This window comes from Homo sapiens, chromosome 11 (assembly GCF_000001405.40).
Source record: "Homo sapiens chromosome 11, GRCh38.p14 Primary Assembly".
NCBI classification, from domain to species: Eukaryota; Metazoa; Chordata; class Mammalia; order Primates; family Hominidae; genus Homo; species Homo sapiens.
The window spans coordinates 2,350,213-2,370,692 of NC_000011.10; the positions used below are offsets into that span (position 1 = coordinate 2,350,213).

General features: G+C 53.1%; 1 long non-coding RNA gene across 1 annotated transcript in view, besides 1 other annotated feature; it reads right to left on the minus strand.

Moving 5' to 3' along the window:
• CD81-AS1 (CD81 antisense RNA 1) overlaps positions 1–20,480 on the minus strand; it is a 49,244-nt gene that overhangs the window by 21,464 nt on the left and 7,300 nt on the right. The window lies entirely within an intron of this gene.
• Positions 9,871–10,659: an enhancer, noted in NCBI's record as "H3K4me1 hESC enhancer chr11:2381313-2382101 (GRCh37/hg19 assembly coordinates)". NCBI's record gives its function as "activates a minimal SCP1, AML or CMV promoter by ChIP-STARR-seq in naive H9 embryonic stem cells {active_cell/tissue: H9 hESC(naive)}" and the evidence as "EXISTENCE:reporter gene assay evidence [ECO:0000049][PMID:30033119]".

Here is a 20,480-nt window from a genome sequence, read left to right on the forward strand (position 1 = left end):
CCTGTAGTCCCTTTCTTTTGGCCAATTTCTCCCTTTTGGAACATGAATGTTTACCCAATGCCCATATCCCCAATGTATCTCAGAAGTAAATAACTTTTTTAATTTTACAGGCTTGTAGATGGAAGGGACTTGCCTTGACTCAGTTGAGACATTGAACTTTTGAGTTAATGCTGAAATGAGTGAAGACTTTGGAGGACTATTAGGAAGGTATGATTGTATTCGGCAACAGGAGAAGGATATGAGATTTGGAGGCCCAGGGGCTAAATGATATAGTTTGGATGTCCTTTCCAAACTTCATGTTGAACAGTAATCTCCAATGTTGGAAGTGGAGCCTTGGTGGGAGGTGATTGGATCACAGGGGCAGATCCCACATGGCTTGGTGATGTCCTTGATCTGGACACAAGATCTGGCTGTTTAAAAGTGTGTGGCACCTCCCCCCACCTCTCTCTTGCTCATGCTTTTGCCATGTGACATGCCTGCTCCCCCTTTGCCTTTTGCCATGATTGGAAGCTTCCTGAGGCCTCCCCAGAAGCAGATGCTGCTGTGCTTCCTATACAGCCTGCAGAAACATGAGCCAATTACATCTGTTTTCTTATAAATTACCCAGTTGCAGGTCTTTCCTAATAGCAGTGCAATGACAGCCTAATACAGTCTGTGAAGGTGTTCTCAGAAGACATCGGCACTTGAATCAGTGGACTGAGTGTCTTAGTCCATTTGTGCTGCTATAAGAAAATGCCTGAAACTGGGTACTTTATAGAGAAGATAAACTTATTTTCTCACAGTTCTGGAGGCCGGGAAGTTCAAGATCAAGGTGCCAGCAAGTATATTGTCTGGTGAGGGACCCTATCTCTGCGTCCAAGATGGTGTGTTGTGGCAGCCTTCTCCAGAGGGAACGAATGCTGGGGTCCTCGCATGGAGGATAGTGGAAGAGCAATACAGGGTGAACTGTCCTTGAAGCCTTTTTGACAGGGTAGTAATTCAGTTATGAGGACAGAGCCTGCATAACTTAATCACTTCCCAAAAGCCCTACTTCTTAATACCACCACAATGGGATTACATTTCAACATGAATTTCTAGGGGGTATGTTCAAATCATAGCATTCTACTCCTAGTCCCCCAAAATGTATGACCTTATCACATTAAAAATACATACATTCCATCCCAGTAACTCCAAAAGTCTTAACTCATTCCAGCATCAACTTTAAAATCAAAGTCCAAAGTCTTATTTAAACATCGTCTACATCAGATATGATTGACACTCTAGGTAACATTCATCTTGAGGCAAATTGCTCTCCAGCTGTAAACCTATGAAATCAAACAAGTTACATGCTTCCAAAATATCATGGTAGGACAGACAGGGGATAGATATTTCCATTGCAAAAGGGAACACTAGGAAAGAAAAAAGCGATAATAGATCCCAAGTAAATCCAAAATCCAACAAGGCAAGCAAAATCAGATCTTGAAACTTGACAATGATCTCCTTTGACTCCCTGTCATGCCTTCCAGATACCCTAGGGTGGGAGTTGGGCCCCCAAGTCTCCAGGTGGTCCTGCCCCCATGGCTTTGCCGGCTGTGGCTCCCAAGCATGACAGTCCCCTGCTTTTGGCTGTCCCAGGCTGGAGTTGCACAGCAGTGTTTCTACTGGCTTGTGGTTGAGGGGGCCCTGACCCCATGGCTCTATTAGGCCATGCCTCCATAGCACGTGCTCTGTGTGTGCCTGCAGAAGATGCTGCCAAGGCGTATTGCCTGTGCCTCTGGAGGGGCAGCCTGAGCCACACCTGGGCCCATGTGAGCCATAGCTGAGGCAGCTGAGGAGTGCTACACTGGAATGCAGGGAGCAGAGACTTGAGGCAGTACTGGGCATGAAGGCCCAAGGTCCCATAGGTACTCAGGGACCCTCCAGAGCCCTGGGTTCCTCCCTTGACTCCATTCTGCCCTCAAAGCAAATGCAGGGAGCAGAGACTTGAGGCAGTACTGGGCATGAAGGCCTAAGGTCCTGTAGGTACCCAGGGACCGTCCAGAGCCCTGGGTTCCTCCCTTGACTCCCTTCTGCCCTCAAAGCCCTAGAACTCTAAGCCTGTGATGGCCATGGCAGCCTGGAAGAGCTTTGAGATGCCGTCAGGGCCTTTCTTCCATTGTCTTAACGGACAGCACCTGACTTCCCTCTATCGCCAGGAATCTTATCAAATGGTCCCTGGGCCACACCCTTTGTTTTCTCTCCTACACGCGTGGCCAAGCTGAGACTCTTCCAAACCTTTAAGTTCTGCTTCTCTTTTGATTATAGATTCTGTCTTTAACTCATTTCTCTCTTTCTTGCATTTTACCATACACAGTTGAGAGAAGCCATGCAGCTCCCTTAGCGTTTTGCTTAGAGATTTCTTCCTCTGAATATTCTAGTTCATCACTGTTAAATTCTGCCTCCCACAAAGCCCTCAGGCACAGACACAATTCAGCCTAGTTCCTTACCACTTTGTAACAGGAACGGTCTTTCCTCCAGATTCCAATAAGATATTCCTTGCTGTGATCTAACACTTCATCTTTACTATTCATATTTCTACCAGCATTGGGATCATGATTACTTAAACATTTCTCTTTTTTTTTTAGATGGAGCCTTGCTCTGTCGCCCAGGCTGGAGTGCAGTGGTGGGATCTCGGCTCACTGCAAGCTCCACCTCCCGGGTTCACGCCATTCTCCTGCCTCAGCCTCCCGAGTAGCTGGGACTACCGGCGCCCGCCACCACGCCCAGCTAATTTTTTGTATTTTTAGTAGAGACGGGGTTTCACCGTGTTAGCCAGGATAATCTCTATCTCCTGACCTTGTGATCCGCCCACGTCGGCCTCCCAAAGTGCTGGGATTACAGGCGTGAGCCACCGCGCCCGGCCCACTTAAACATTCCTAAGAAGACTGAGGCTCTGTCTACAGATCTCCTCTTCTTCTAAACCTGCACCAGAATTGCCTTTAATACTCTGTTCATAGCCATTTAGGCTTTTTCTGCCATGCACTCTGAAACACTTCCAGACTCTACCAGCAGTTTGAAATCTGCTTCCACATTTTCAGGTATTTATAACAGCAACACCCCACTTATGTTTAGCAAATTATGTCTCCGTCCCTTTGTGCGGCCATAATAAAATACCTGTAACTTGGTCATTTCTACAACAGATTTATTATGTCACAGTACGGGAGGCTGGAAAAAGTGCAAGATCAGGACACTGGCTGTTTTGGTGTCTGGTGAGGGTCCCAGTCTCTTCTTCAAGATGAAGACTTGTTGCTGCCTCTCCTGAAGGGGACAAATGCTGTGTCACCACACTGTGGATGGTGGAAGAGCAATACAAGGTGAACTGTCTCTGAAGCCTTTTTTATAAGAGCGTTGGTCCATTCATGAGGACTGAGCCCTCATGACTTAATCACTTCTCAAAAAACGCTACCGCTTAATACCACCACAGCGGGGATTAAGTTTAAATATAATGTTTGGAGGCCAGGTGCAGTGGCTCATGCCTGTAATCCCAGCACTTTGGGAGGGTGAGGCGGGCAGATCGCTTGAGGTCATCAGTTCAAGACCAGCCTGGCCAACATGGAGAAACTCTATCTCTACAAAATACAAAAATTAACTGGGCGTGGTGGTGCGTGCACACCTATGGTCCCAGCTACTCGGGAGGTTGAGGCATGGCTTAAAGCCAGGAGGTTGCAGTGAGCTGAGATCGCGCCACTGCACTCCAGCCTGGGCAACAGACTGAGACTCTGTCTCAAAAAAAAAAAAAAAAAACTTGGAGAAGGCAAATTCAAAGCACGACAGTAGAGAAGGTCCATCCTCGCCCAACGTGAGTGGGCACTGTCCAATCAGCAGTGGGCCCAGATAAGGAAAAAAGGTAGAAGAAAGGCGAACTCTCCCTCTCTGCCTCTCCCCACTCTCCCTTCTGCAGCTGGGACACCCATCTTCTCTTGCCTTTGGATATCAGAACTCCAGATTCTTCAGCCTTCGCACTCTGAGACTTGTACCAGTGGCCTCCGGGTCTCAGGCCTTCAGCTGCAGACTGAGAGTTACCCAACTGGCTTTCCTGATTGACGCTTAGACTGTACCACATAAATGGCTTCCCTGGTCCCCAGCTTGCAGATGGCCTATTGTGGGAATTTTCAGCCTCTGTAATCATTGTAATCATATGAGCCCATTCCCATAATAAATCCCTTCTCATGTATCTATGTATCTATACCTGTATCAATCCTATTTCTTTCTTTTTTTTTTTTTTGAGACAGAGTCTTGCTCTGTCACCCAGGCTGGAGTGCAGTGGCGTGTTCTCAGCTCAATGCAACCTCCGCCTCCCAGGTTCAGGCGATTCTCCTGCCTCAGCCTCCCGAGTAGCTGGGACTACAGGCACCCGCCACCACGCCCAGCTAATTTTTGTATTTTTAGTAGAGACGGGGTTTCATCATGTTGGCCAGGATAGTCTCCATCTCTTGGCCTCGTGATTCACCCGCCTCGGCCTCCCAGAGTGCTGGGATTACAGGCGTAAGCCAGCACACCTGGCCTCGATGCTATTTCTATCCTATCGGTTCTGTTTACCTGAAGAACCCTAACATAGGTTTTGGTATCAGGATGATTCTAGAGAAACAGAATCATAAGAATGAGTTTTCTGAATGTGTATTGTGTTTTTCGGAATTGGTTTTCTAATATGACTTGACTTAAAAGTGAGAAGAACTCTACTTCCAACAGTACACAGGACACTGATGGTCCATGGTGTGAATAGTTTATGAAAATATGCAAATTTCTGCATTGTATACTCCTAGTAAACCACTTACAAGAGGCAAGGAGCTTAGTGACTCTGTATATGATATTTTCGAACATTTGTGGAAAACCAGGGAATATAGTGACGTGGGCTGGTTACCAGTTGGTTGCTGGACAAAGTGATGAAATCACAGGATGTGCTCAGTGATTCAAATTCCCAGTTCCAGCTCTGTATAAATAACCTGTGAGTGGCTGAGTGAACCCTGAAGGAGAACCTCCTTTCCTGTAGCCCTGGGGCCAAGACTGCTGAAAAGCAACCACAAGTCCTCGTCCTGAAACTGGATGAATTACAACGCAAGTTGAACTCTCAGCCTTGCGGGGTGTCCACTGTTCCAGTGAGGGCATTGGCTGGGAAACAGAGGATCCTGTAAGTTGGGATGAAGACATATGGAAGGACCCTGATGAAGCTGGGGACGGTCAGCCTCTAAGTTAGGATGAGTCATTTTGTCAGCAGAAGCAGCCTCCCTGCACCCAGTGGCAGTGCTACACCCACCCCCAGTGCTACACCCCTCCCCCAGTGGTACTGGCCTTTCCACCTTCTCTGAGGCATTAATCTGTGTTGCCTGAGGAAAGGGTAAGGACTTCCCCTAAGGCAGTTGCTGATTCTCCTCGGGTCCCTCCCCCAACCCTTCCCTTTGCTTTAAGACCTATAACAAGACTCACAGCCCAGCAGGCCCCTGAAGGTGAGGCCCACAGTGTGACACAGGAGGAGGCGAGCCACACCCCAGAAGAGCCACTCGACCTCTCTGATTTATACAGACAGACACCTGGGAGCATGAGTGGGAACGGACGTTGGGTGTAGGGCACTGGGGGAGGAACATGGAGGTGGAGGGACCAGGTGTGCAGGCATGTCCACCAAGTAGAGCCTGAATTCCAGGCTGCAACTCAGGGACTTGGAAAAGCTCTAACTGGCTGGTCGGTTGAAACATGGATCAAAGGATGCCTGCAGTGAGCGAGCTGGAGATGCCTAAGCTCCCTTGGCTTAACATAGAGGAAGGGGTTCAAAGGCTCATTCCCAAAGGAGATCAGAATGTGACAATGAAAACCTCCTCACCTACCCTGGGAGGGCCCAAAACGCAGACCTTTCACAACAGGGATCCCCAACCCCCCGGGCCATGGACTGGTACTGGTCCATGGCCTGTTAGGAACTGGGCCACACAGCAGGAGGTGAGCGGTGGGTGAGTGAGTGAAATCCGTATTTATAGCCACTCCCCATCACTTGCATGACCACCTGAGCTTGGCCTCCTGTCAGATCAGCAGCAGCATCAGATTCTCATAGGAGTGCAAACCCTACTGTGAACTGCACATACGAAGGATCTAGGCTGCAACGCTCCTTATGAGAATCTAATGCCTGATGATGTGTGGCTGTCTCCCATCCTCCCCAGATGGGACTGTCTAGTTGCAGGAAATCGAGCGCAGGCCTCCCACTGATTCTACATGATGGCGAGTTGTATAATTATTTCCTTACATATTACAATGTAATAATAATACAGATAAAGTGAACAATAAATGTAATGTGTTTGAATCATCCCAAAACCATCCTCCAACTCCGGGTCTGTGGAAAAATATTCTGCCATGAAACTAGTCCCTCATGCCAAAAAGGTTGAGGACTGCTGTCTCACAACACTGAAATATAGACTTGTGAGGGAGCCCAGTCTCCTTGAAGAGCTCTGAGATTGTTCTTCTCTGTAGGCCAGACTCACTGTGGGAACTGCAGTCAATCAACTGAGAAACTTACATGTGATGGGAATAATTGGATCCTGGGGTAGCAGTGGCCAAGTGGGGGCATTCAAGCACCAAAGGCAAAGTTGGCATGGTTACCATGATAGACAGCAGAGGCAAAGTAGCAGTCAGACCTGAGTTACAGGTCCAACCCATGTAGACCTATGGCACTGGCTGGTTACCATGTTTTTCCTAGCAGTGAAACAGATGGGAAGCCTGCTCAATTCCTACTGGATACAAGCAGAAAACTTACAGATCAAGTGGACAAAACTCTAAGTCCAATCATAAAAACAGAGAATCATGGCCTCAGTCTTTCACAGACTTGAGCCAGTCTATGAACCCAGAAAGAGTGAAAGAAAGGCTGGGTACCCTTGAGGAAGGACCCCAGGATGGCCAAAAATGTATATATACTGTTAATTCTTTCCCTGGTCTTCTCCAAAGGGGTCTATGGCCTTCTATCTGTGTAACTGTGTATTGGAAAAAAGAAAATAATGTGGCATTTCAGGACGATTGGACACTGGCTCTGTCCTGACATTGATTTTAGGAGATGCTGGAACGACACTGTGGCCCTCCAGTTAGGGAGGGGCTTAGGGAGCCAGGTGATCAATGGAGTTTTAGCTCAGGTCTGACTCTGTGGGTCCAGCGGGTACCCAGCCCATCCTGTGGTCATCTTCCCAGCTCCAGATGTGTAAGTGGAACAGACACACTCAGCAGCCAGCAGAGTCCCCACATGCGTCCCGTGACCTGGTGTGTGAAGGCTACTGTGGTGGGAAAGGCCAAGTGGAAGCCATTAGAGAGGTCTCTACCTAGAACCGTCAGTCAAAAGCCATCCCACATCCCTGGAGGGACTGCAGACATCAGTGCCACCACCAAGGACTTGAGAGGTGCAGGGGCGGCGATCCCCACCACAGCCCATTCTCCCCACCTATTCGGCCCACAGGGGAGACAGGTGGGTCCTGGAGAATGACAGGGGACTGTCCTAAGTTTGACTCCAGCTGCAGCTGCTGGGCCAGACGAGGTTCCATCGCTTGAGCAAATTAGCACATCTCCTGCTCCCTGGTGCGAAGCTCTTGATCCAGCAAATGCGTTCTCCTCCACCCCCGTCCACAGGGCCCAGCAGAAGCCAGGCCAGCGATGCACCCTCGCCGCCCCACCTGAGGGGCCTCTCGCCTCTCCAGCCCGTGTCAGAGGTAATTCTCAGGAGTCTCGATCACCTCTCCCTTCCCCAGGATGTCACACTGGCCCATTACACTGGTGACATCATGTTGATGGGACGTAAGGCACAAGAAGTAGCCTCCATCCTAGACTTGTTGGTGTCGGAGGGTGGGGAATAAACCCAACTGGAATTCAGAGCCTTCTACCTCAGGGAAATTTCCAGTGGTGTGAGGCCTGTTCTAAGGTGAAGGACAGGTTGTTGCAGCTGAACCCTCCTACAACCAAAAGAGAAGAACGGCACTAAGTGGGCCTGTCTGATGTGGGGTTGACACGTTCTTTCTCTTTGAGGTGTCCAACTCTGTCCATTTACTGAGTGATTTGAAAAGCTGCTAGTTAGTTTTAAGCATGGCCCAGAGCAAGAGAAGTCTCTGCAGTAGGTCCAGGCTCTGTGCATGCCGCTCTGCCACGTGGGCCACATGACCCGGCAGATCCACTGGTGCCTGGGGTGTCAGTGGCAGACAGAGACCCTGTGTGGAGTCTTTGCCAGGCCCCTGTAGGTGAATCACGGCTCAGGCCTTTAGGATTTTGGAGGAAGGTCCTGTCATCATTCACAGATAACCCACTCTCCTTCAGAGAAACAGCTCTTGCCCTGCTTCTGGGCCTTTGTAGAAATTAAACACTTGGCAGTGTGAATCTATAATCCCAGCACTTTGGGAGGCTGAGGTGGGCAGGTCACCTGAGGTCAGGAGTTCAAGACCAGCCTGGCCAACATGGCGAAACCCTGTCTCTACTAAAAATACAAAATTAGCCAGGTGTGGTGGCGAGTGCCTGTAATACCAGCTACTTGGGAGGTGGAGGCACGAGAATCAGTTGAACCCGGGAGGCGGAGGTTGCAGTGAGCCAAAATGGTGCCGCTGCACTCCAGCCTGGGTGACAGAGGGAGACTCTGTCTCATAAAAAAAGAAAAGAAAAGAAAGAAAAAAAGAAAAGGAAACTAAACTAGACAAGGGCCACCAAGTTACCACGTGACTTGAATGGCTCATCATGATCTGGGGACTTTCTGACCCACGTAGCCATAAAGTCGTGTGCACAGCAGTGCTGCATCAGCCAGTGGAAGCAGGGGATAGGTGATCAGGCCCAAGCAGGTCCTGAAGGCACAAGGAAGTTACGTGAAGTAGTGGCCCAAAGCCTGTGGCCCCACTGCTGCTCCCCTGCCTTCTCCCTCCCTGTCTGCACCTGTGGCTGCATGGGGAGTTCCTCTGATTAGTTGACGGAGGAAGAGAAGACTCAGGCCGGACTTACAAATGGTTCTGCTCAGTATGCAGACACTACCGGAAAGTGGACAGCTGCAGCCCTGTAGCCCCTGGGGGATATCCCTCAGACAGTGGTGAAGAGGAATCTTCCCCGTGGGTAGAACTTCCGGCATGCACCTGTGTGTGCTCCGCTTAGAAGGAGCAGATGTGTGATGATATTTCATTCATGGCTGTTGCCAGTAATTTAAGTGGATGGAGGTGCTTGAAAGGAACATGATTGGAAAATTGGTGATGAAGAAATGTGTGGAAGAGATGTATAGATAGCCCTTTCTGAACATGCTAATGACATCCAGATATTTGTGTCCCATGTGAATGCTCACCAAAGGGTGACCTCAGCAGAGGACTTCAGTAATCAGGTGGACAGCATGAGCTACTCTATGGACACCAGTGAGCCTTTTCCCAGCCACCCCTCTCATCACCCAGTGAGCTCCTGAGCGAAGTGGCTGTGGTGGCAGGGATGGAGGTTGTGCGTGGGCTCAGCAACATGGACTTCCACTGACCAAGGCCAAGCTGAGTACCACCAGCACTGTATGCCCAGTGTGCCAGCAGCAGAGACCAACACTCAGCCTGATAAGCTCCATTCCTGAGTGATCAGCCCAGTGCCTGGGGGCAGGTGGGTGACACTGGACAGCTCCCATCATGGAAGGGGCGCTGAGGCTCCATTCCCCAGCGTGTTGAGCCCGGTGCCTGGGGGCGGGTGGGTGACACTGGACGGTTCCCATCATGGGAGGGGCGCTGGTTTGTTCTCACTGGGATAGGCGCCTGCCATGGATATGGATTTGTCTTCCCTGCACACAGTGCTTCTGTCGTCACTACCATCTGTGGGCTCAGAACTCCTCATCTAATGCCGTGCTGTCCACACAGCATTGCTTTGACGAAGGAACTCACTTTGCAGCCAAAGAAGCGTGGCAGTGGGCTCATGCTCGTGGTATTCACGGGTCTTACCGTGTTCTCCATCATCCTGAAGCAGCTGGCGTGATAGAACGGTGGAATGGGCTTTTGCAGACACAGCTCCAGCACAAGCTGGGTGGCAGTCCCTTGCAGGGCTGGGGCAAGGTGCTGCTCCAGGAGGCTGTCCGTGCTCTGAATCAGTGTCCAATATGTGGAGCTGTCTCTCCCACAGTCAGGATTCACCCGTCCGGGAACCAAGGGGCAGAAGTGGGAGTGGCACCACCCACCATCAGCCCCAGTGACCCACTAGCAGTGTTTTTGTTTCCTGTTCCCATGACTTTACGCTCTGCTGGCCTAGGGGCCTTGGTTCCAAGGTGAGGAATGCTGCCACCAGGAGACACAACAATGACTCCATTGAACTGGAAGTTAAGGTGGCACCTGGGCAGTTGGGGCTCCTCAAGCCTCAGAATCAACAGGCCGATAAGAGAGTTTGGATGCTGGCTGGGGATTGATCCAGAGGACCCAGGGGACATCGAACTGCACTCCACACCAGAGGTGCGGAAGAGCACGGGGAATGCAGGAGGCCCCTTAGGGCTTCTTTAAGTGTAACCACACCCTGTGGTTAAGATCCCTGGGGCCAGGCTCGGTGGCTCACGCCTGTAATCCCAGCACTTTGGGAGGCCGAGGCGGGCGGATCACGAGGTCAGGAGATTCAGACCATCCTGGCTAACACGGTGAAACCCCATCTCTACTAAAAATACCAAAAAATTAGCCGGGCATGGTGGCAGGCACCTGTAGTCCCAGCTACTTGTGAGGCTGAAGCAGGAGAATGGCGTGAACCCGGGAGGCGGAGCTTGCAGTGAGCCGAGATCGCGCCACTGCACCCCAGCCTGGGCGACAGAGCAAGACTCCGTCTCAAAAATAAAAAATAATAATAAAAAAATAATCCCTGGGAAAGCACAGCAATGCAAGTTTCCTTAGGAAACTACAGCAAGGCCGAGACCCTTAAGCACTGAGGCCTTGGGTCACCTGGCCAGGTACAGAACCACTACCGGCTGAGGTGCTTGCTGAGGGCAAAGGGACTACAGAATGGGCAGTGGTTATAAACACCAGGTACTCCTGTAGCTTGGCCAGTAGCAGAAATGAGGATTGCAACTTTCACGAGTGTTTCCTCTCCATTTTGTTAAGAAAGCATTTGTGCATATGTGTACATAAGTTAAGCAAATATCTGTTTTCTTTCCTCTCTTACTCCTTTATCATGTAACATAAGATCTATTGATTTTGTCTCAGTATCAAGGTATCGTGAATTTTACATGACAGTATTGAGGTCGTGCGATATCGGGAGAGTCGACATCACTCGAGGACTTCACCTCCTCTTCCAGGGAAGGAGTCAGTGCGTGTCTGGTTGTATGCGGGACAGTCATCACATGTTAGTTGGAACCATGACCTTGCTGCTGTCTATTTGGAGATGAAGTACGGTTTAAGGAGGTGTGTATGGGTTCCAAGCTGACAAGGAGTGAACTTGTGACGGTTCGTTTCAGCTGTCAACTTGACTGGATGAAGGGATATCCAGAGAGCATGAAAGCATTATCTCTGGGTGTGCCTGTGAGGGCATTTCCGGAGAGACTGGCGATTGAATCCGTGGGCTGAATAAGGAAGATCTGTCTTCACCCAAAGTGGGAGGGCACCATCCAATCCACTGAGGGCCCAGGCAGAACGGGAAGATGAATTCGTGCTCTCTTGCTCTCTCTTCCCCCACCAGAGCTGGGACACCCACCTCCTACTGCCCTTAGACATCAGAACTCCTGGTTCTCTGGGCTTTGGACCCTGGAACTTATACCAGTGGCCCCTCTGACTGCGAGTTACACTGTCGGCCTCCCTGGTTCTCAGATCTTCAGGCTTGAACTGAGCCACACTACCAGCCTCCCTGGGTCTCCAGCTTGCACAGACAGGGCAAATCATGGGACTTCTCAGTCTCCATACTCATGTGAGCCGATTCCCATCATAAACCCCCTTTCTTCCATCCATCCATCCATCCATCCATCCATCCATCCATCCATCCATCCAGCTATCTATCTAGCTACCGAGCTAGCTACCTGTATCTTTACTTATCTCTATCTATGTCTACCTATATCTATATCTCTGTCTACATCTCTATATCTATCTGATCTATCTCTATCTCTATGGTAATCTCAATCTGTCTGTCTGTCTGTCCGTCTCTCTGTCTATCTGTCTCCCTCCCTGTCTGTCTATCTGCCTGTCTGCCTGCCTGTCTATCTGTCTGTCTGCCTGTCTGCCTGTCTGTCTGCCTGTCTGCCTGTCTATCTGACTGTCTGCCTGCCTATCTGTCTGTCTGTCTGTCTTTATCTCTATGGATCTGTACTTATTTATCTATCTCATTCCGTGTATCTGTCTCTATATCTATACATCTACATCATGGAGGACTATGGTAGATGCTCACTGCTGTGCACTGCACCGTCCCTCCCAGCGGGACCACAGCACTGGTCCAGCCAGCTGCCCACAGCTCTCAGCTTGCTCCTCCCGAGGAAATGCCCTCAGCCAAAGGCAGCTGCCTCACCCATGGCTTCTCCCTGCCCTGGAAGCCACCTCTACCCAATGAATGGTCGATGGAGGAAGCAACAGGTCAGGTCCTTCACCTGAATTCATGGCCTCTCTAAAGGGCCCCTTCAGCTCCAAAAGCACCCGAGGCATCATCAGAAACCTTCTTTGCGAGTGGAGCACAGCTCAGCTGCCCCCACCTGCTCCTTCCCTCTCTCACAGCCTTTGTCCCCAAGAGCACTTGCCACTTTACCCTTGACCTACATGTCTCTATCTGGCAGTGTCTCTTGGGGAACCGAACCTCAGACAGTTTGCAAGCAACAAATTCCAAAGGTCGTGCCTGGGCCTGGAGCTCTGCTGACATGGAAGCCATGCCCACCTGGGACCTGAGGGTGTTTCTTGTCTCACAGGCCTGATATTGAGTGGTGTGCATCTGCATACCCAGGTGGTTGTTAAAACACAGAACGGCTTCCATGCTGGTTGAACGACCCCTACCTTGAGCCTCCAGGTGTCCCCCAGAGGCCACCCCGGTTCCTTCCCCCAGGGTCCAAGCAGGGCACGACAGACAGCTTCTGGAACATCACTCAATGCCGTGGCCAGCCCCATTCTGATGGGTCTGCACCAATCGGGGCTGCTTGTTAAGCATGACTAAAGTCTCCTGCAGTCGTCTGCTAGGACTGCCACAGCAAAGCGCCACAGTCTGGCAGCCTTCACAGAGACATTTATCTCCCCAGCCCTGGGGGCCTCAAGTCCAAGCTCAAGTTGTTGTTGGGGCTGGTTCCTTCGGGGGCTACGAGGTGGCCTCTGCCCAGTCCCTCCAGCCTCTGCCCAGTCCCTCCAGCCTCTGGGGCTCCCAGGCAGCCTCGTGTTTCTTGGCTCGTGGAGCATCACTCTAATCTCTGCCTTCACCTTCACATGGCGTCCTTCCTGTGTGTGCGTCTGCATCCAACTTCCCCTGTTCCTAAGGTCACCGGTCAGATCTGAGCAGGATACTAATGGCCATATCTTAGTTACATCTGCAGTGACCCTATTTCCAAATAAGGTCACATATGAGGCACTGAAGGTCGGGACTGCAACATGCTTGTTCTCCTATCATGGAATCAGACCAGCAGGTGGGTCACATTCCGCCAGAGGGAGAGTGGGCAGACGCCCAAAGGGCTGGATGTATACAGCTCCAGGAAGAACCGCAGTTGCAGCTGCTTGGACAGGTGTGGGCACTCACAGCCTCCCATGACAGCCCTGGCTGGGGGCTCCATCCACAGCCCCTGGTGGGGTGGGGCAAGGCCCTTCCTTCTGACCCACAGGACCTTGGACCCCTGGGGCACTGCAGAGGGACTCAGGGTCAGACCAGCAGCCTTTGACATGGCCAAGAGTGAAAGTGATGGGGACCCACGAGCCATCAGAGCTCTGTCTCCAGAGCCTGCACAGGGAGTGTTGGGACAAGGAGCAAAGGAATCGGGAGCACATCAAGGCAGGCACCAGATTTGGAAGAACGCCCCGGGGGAGGTGCTCCCAGGCGAGTGGGGCAGAGGGCAGTCTCCTCCTGGGCTTCCCTGGGTCCCAGCCCGGCCCGGCTGGGCGTCCCACTGTCTTTGGTGTGGTGTGCTCCCTGCCTGTGGCCCTGTGATGGGAGTCCTGCTTCTCTAAACAGTGAGACCCTCACAGAACCCGTCAGCATGTCCAAAGCACCTGGAGGAGAAAAGATTTGTCTCCTCATTCGTCACTAGGTTCATGGTTGAGGCTCTCACAGCAAAAGACAGATTAACAAGAGAAAAGCAGACACATTTATTCAATATAAGTTTCATCTCGTATAGGAGCCTTCGGAAATGAGGACCCAGCACTTCGGGAGGCCGAGGTGGACAGACCATTTGAAGTCAGGAGTTCCGAGACCAGCCTGGCCAACATGGTGAAACCCCATCTCTACTAAAAATACAAAATTAGCCGGGCATGGTGGCATGTGCCTGCAGTCCCAGCTACCGGGGTGGCTGAGGCAGGAGACTTGCTTGAACCCGGGAGGTGGAGGTTGCAGTGAGCCGAGATCACGCCATTACACTTCAGCCAGGGTGACAGAGTGAAACTCCGTCTCAAAAAAAAAAAAAAAAAGAAAAAGAAAAGGAAAAAGAAATGAGGACCCAAGGGAAGAGGGAAACCCGTGTATTTTTATGTGGAGTTTGATGGAGAGTCATGCAGAGTGTGATTGGATTAGACAAAGTGGGTGTACTCGTCCGTTCTTGCACTGTATAAAGAATACTTGAGACTGCGTAATTCATAAAGAAAGGAGGTTTACTTGGCTTACAGTTCCCCAGGCTGTACAGAAAGCATGGTGCTGGCATCCACATGGCTTCTGGGGGCGGGCTCAGGAAACTTACAATCATGGCGGAAGGCAAAGGAGGAGCTGGCACTTCACGTGGCCGGAGCAGGAGGAAGCCCAGAGGGAGAGAGGGGAGGTGCCATATGCCTTTAAACAAGCAGGTCTCATGAGAACTCACTATCACGAGAACAGCACTGGGGGGAAATCCACCCCCATGAGCCAATCACCTCCAGCAGGCCCCACCTCCAGCATTGGGGATTACAATTCAACATGAGATTTAGGCAGGTACACAGATCCAAACCGTATCAGGGTGTGGCCTAATGGTGATACACTGGGGAGACTTGGCCTGTGGTCTTAGTCCATCGTGTGCTGTTAGAACAGAAAACCACAGACTGGCTAACTTATTGGCCCCTGGTCCTAGAGGCTGGGAGGTCCGAGATCGACAGGCCACCTCTGGCAAGGGTCTTTGTGCTGCCTTATCCCATGACAGAAGGGCAAAGAGAGGGAGAGAGAGACAGCCAGAGAGAAGGGGACCAAACTCATCCTTCTGTCAGAGCCCGCTCCCACGACAATGATGTTAGTCCATCATGATTACAGAGATGGGGGACACATTCAGACCACAGCAGCCCCCTCAACCCGCACACACTGCACATTGAGGGGAGGGCCGGGAGACTGGAAGGAAACATCAGAGTCTGGAGAAGACCACCAGGATCACCAGGGCTATGCTCTCACCCGGCACCCAGCACCGAGGGGCTCATGGGAAACAAGACGGGTCTCTCGGTGCACGAGTGCTGGGCACACATAGTCCACCGTGCATCCTGGGCTGATGATCTGGACCCTGGTCCTGTGCAGCCCTGGGGTGGGGCTCCAGGCTGAGATCAGCCACGTCTGGGGGAGGAGACAGTGTTCCCAGTCTCACCTTGCCCCACGGACTCTGACAGGGGTTGAAGAAGCAAGGAGGCTCCAAGGACTGGGGAGGGGGAGTCTGGCCGACGATCTAGGAGCATCAAGGCGCCTGCTCCCTCTCGGCGTGGCCCGGTCCTGTAGGTGGTCAGTTATGCAATGCCACTGCCTTCCTACCTCACAAGGAGGGTGGGTGGACTCAGAAGCCAGGCCCAGGCTTCCTTCTTGGCTCAGGCAAGGAACATAGGGGGCTTTGAGCTTTGCTTATTCATTTAACAACTGAACCCCTAGTCTGTGCCAGGCCCCCATTTAAATGGTCCCTGGGATACAGCAGGGTCCAGAATGGGCCCAGACCCTGCCCCCATAGCTGACCTTCTGGAGAGCCTGAGGAGTGAGGGGTGCCCTCCAGGCACGGCAGACGGGGCAGGCTCTGCATTCGGGGGCTCCAGCTGCTTTCCCACCACCCACCCACTCCACCCGAGCCCTTCTGGGTCAGCTGGGCTCCTGGCTCTGCCCGCCTGGGGTGCAAGACGCCAAGTTCCTTCCTGGACAGTGAGAGAACCATGCCAAAAAGAAATGAAAGGAAGGCAGACGGCGAGATGAGGGAGAGGGTGGGCACCCAGCCAGGGACCGCAGAGACGAGGAGGAGGCACAGAGACCCACTGTCCCCAGCCACTGCCAGTGAGGCTGGCCCAGGGCCAGGGGCTGGGCGTCCCTGGCATGCATGTGGCTCCCAGTGCCCCCACGTCCAACAGGAGTGGGGCGGCCCCCTCTTCTGCCACATCCCCATCCCACCTCCCATTCCATTCACTGGTCTCATTTTTAAGTTTTTCTCTCCCAGTTATTCAGGATTGATTTGGAGAGCAGAGCGATGGCTGCAGGTGGCTCTTCATTTTCCTTCACCTAAGAAGCAAACCATCATCCACCCCAAGCTTGTCTCTCCAGCCTGCCCCCTACATGAGGACAACCTCCCTCCTCTTCCACGGTGGCGCTGTTCCCACTGGAGGCCCAGGCTTGGCCATCCGTTCATTCTTGGAGTCCTCAAGAGATTGTCAGCTCTGCAGTGGGGAGCAGCCGCTGTCAAAGACCCTGGAACTTCCTCCCTGCTGCGTCCACCAACCCCCACTGCCCGCTGGGCACTCCCAACCTGAAACAAGCTTGCTCGCTGCAAAAGCCTCACCTCTGACCCAACTTCCCACTCCCAGGATACCCAACCTGGCCTTCCCTCTGGATACCCCTGTGGGCTCCCCTCTGCTGATGGGTTCCCCTCTCCAGCTGTGGCTTCCCTCTGCTGATGGGGTCCCCTCTCCAGCTGGGGCTCCCTCCACTGATGGGGTTCCCTCTACAGCTGTGGCTCTCTCCACTGATGGGGTCCCCTCTCCAGCTGGGGCTCCCTCCACTGATGTGGTCCCCTCTTCAGCTTGGGCTCCCTCCACTGATGGGGTCCCCTCTTCAGCTGGGGCTCCTCTCCACTGACAGGGTCTCCTTTCCATCTGGGGCTCCCTTGGCTGATGAAGTCCCTTCTCCAGGTGAGGCTGCTCTCTGCTGACAGGGTCCCCTCTCCAGCTAGGTCTCCTCTCTGTTGATAGGGTCCCCTCTCCGGGTGGGCTCCCCTCTGCTGACGGGGTCCTCTGATGGGGTCCCTACTCCAGGGGGGCTCCCCTCCATAGATGAGCTCCCCTTCCTGGGTTGGGTGACCCCTCCGCCCTATCTGTGTCTGCAGGTTGGGGCTAGGCAGTGCTGGCCAGCATCTGACAACCTCCCCTTTCTGTTCTTGGGCACTGCTCACTTATTCAGGTCTCAGCCAGGCAGCCCCTCCAATGGTAATCTTCAGAGTCCCCTTCAGCAACACAGCTTCCCCTCTGTGGCCCAGCTCATGCTGAAGTAAACAAGGCAATGTCATTAACGGCTGGTATCAGCTTGTACGGGGAACCAGTGGCCCCAGAAGCCTCTGGGGAGGCCCAGGCTGTGAGGATCAGGGGTCCGGAAGAGCCTCTAGAGCGGGAGAAAGAGGCCTCAGGGGTCCCTCCTCACAGGGGATGGTGACAACACGGTAGGGAATGGAGGGGTCAGGGCTGGGTCCAGGACACGGTGACCCTGGCCAGAAAAGGCCGGGCCTGGCTGGCACCCGCACGAAGGGAACGGAGCCAGTGTGGAAAAGCAGGCCCGCGTCCTCTTCTGCACTCCCAGCCCCTTTAAACTACACACAGCTTGTAGGAAGGGGATCAGAGGCCCCTGGGCGTCCCATGGCTATGCTGCACCTGGGGACATGAAGCCTAGGGTAGCTCAGCCAGCTCTGGTCACGGCTGACAGACAGCCTCACCCCAACAGCCTCACCCATCCCTCCTCAGGGAACAGGGTCCTAACAAGCTGCTTTCCCCATCCCAGTGTTGAACAAAAACTCATGGGTTTAGACAAGAGTGAAGGTGACTCCTCCACCACCCATCCCACCTCCAGCAGGCAGCCACCCCCAAAATTATTGATTTATTAATAAATCAATGACAGGTGCCAGCCAGCCCCACCTGTCCCCAACCTGCAAATGCAGACAGGGGTCACTTGGTCCAGGGAGAGGAGACCCTCAGTGGAGGGGAGACACCCTGGAGAGGGGACCCCATCAGCAAAGGGGAGCCCCAGCTGGAGACAGTAAATAGGCAGACTATTCACTGTCTTCCCCCTCAAGCCAGGCCCACAGAGTCACAGAGTATAGCCACCAGCCTCCTGGGCCCACCCGGGAGGCCCCAACCACACTCCCCCTGCTCAGCTCAGCCCGGATTTCTGGATTCTGCTGCCTGCCAGGGATCCTGAGGAGGAGATGGTATCAGAGCCTCACCAGCCCTTCTCATACCCAGGAGTCCTCATGATGATAACAGTGTGTGCGCCAGGCTGTGCAGGTGCTGGCCGGGATCCTCTGAGGGGACGAGATCTCCATGGGAGGGCACCACTCTGATGTCCATCCTGGGCTTCCGTGGCCCTGCCTGGCCACTGCCCGCTGCTCTTGGTCAAGATCATGGACCCTCAGAGGCCAACCAGGCCTCAGCCTGTGCCTACAGCATCCTCTCTACTGCCGGGCTTCTGAATTGCTCCTTCCTCCTGTCTCCCACCCAGAGCAAGAACGAAGGGGAGGCCCCCAGAGCCCTGCAGCGCCGGGAGAGACTCCCATCCCCACCCCGCATGCCATCAACACAAACTGCCGGAGAGTTTAGGGGATCCCACGACTTGGGGTCTCCAAAGAGACCCCCGGGACATCTCATCGAGACCCCCCTGGGCACTGCATGCTCAGGCTTCCCACCCCTGGCCCACCCCATGGGGTGTGCCCAGTCCCGCATCTCACCCCATATCCATGCATGCATGCATGAACCTGAAAGCACCCCACACCCTCTGGTGCTCAGTCCTCCCCTCCTCCCTGGGGTCCCCTCCCCTCCCTGCCCCCCAAGCCTTGCATCCCCCTGCAAACCTCACAAGGGGGAACTATTTCTGTCCTGAAAGCAGAGAGGGCCCTTTTCTTGGGACCTCTCCGCCATCTCTGCCTCCACTCCCAGCTGCTGTCAGCTCTGGCCTGGCCCCTGCAGGAAGCAATCACTGGTCTCCCTGTTTCCCATCTGGCCCCAAGGTCTGTTCTTGCCCTTCGACCAGAGAGGTTTGAAAGCACAACTCGGGCCCTGCGTGCCCTGCTCCCCAGGGCTCCACACCTCTGAGCACCCGCGCAGTAACGGAGGCTCCCAGCCCCGCCTCGCCCCAGGGTCCCCTCCAACACTCTCTGGCCTTGGGCCTTTGCTATACCCGGGGCCTGGAAGGGCCCCCTCATCCCCCAAGTGTCAGGCAAAGGTCTCAGAGCACTGTCCCTGCCCGGCGTGCTTGGTCCTGACTGCTAGGCCCCAAATCATTCCTTTTCCCATTACCTCTTGGTTTCTCTGTAGCTGGGGTCACTACCCCAAATTCTTGAATTGACTGACGTGTCCAACTATTTCATGTTTTCCCCCTCTACACTGGGAGCCCTACAAGGGCAGGGCCCCCTGGGCAAGAATAGTGCCAGCCAGGAGCCCCTGGAGAAGATAGCTACACATGTGCCCCAGGCCCCAGATGGCACTCAGCCCTGCCTGTCAATGCTGGACATAGGGCAGTTTTTATCCTGGCTTTCTACACAAGGAGGAAAGACTAACCATGCCAGCGGGCAGCGGCCGGATCACGTATGTCAGTAGAACTCTGACCCCTGAGAAGCCTGGAAGCCAAACCACACCTCTGTAGCAATCACGCCACAGACTCAGGCCACGGCTAACGGCTGCCAGTTCACCTATTTTTGCCCCCAACTCAAGACCAACTGGAGGAAGGCAAATATGTCCCTGACGAAGGGTGGCCGCCTCCAGCCTCCCCAGCCCAGAGCCTCAGCCTCCCCAGCCCACTGCCTCCAGCAACACACATCTGAAGCCTTCTCTGTTGGTTGGTTTTATTGGTATTTTGGAAGATTGTTTGTTTTTTGTTATGAGATGGAGCCTCGCTCTGTCCCCCAGGCTGGAGTGCAGTGGCGCGATCTCGGCTCACTGCAAGCTCCGCCTCCTGGGTTCAAGCCATTCTCCTGTCTCAGCCTCCCGAGTAGCTGGGACTACAGGCACCCGCCACCGTGCCAGGCTGATTTTTTTGTATTTTTAGTAGAGACGGGGTTTCACCATGTTAGCCATGATGGTCTTGATCTCCTGACCTCATGATCTGGCCATCTCGGCCTCCCAAAGTGCTGGGATTACAGGCGTGAGCCACTGCACCTGGCCTTTGGAAGGTCTTTTATACCTTTATTGAGATAAAATTCTTATGACATAAAACTTAGCATAAACTGTAGACTTAGTTGGTGTGAC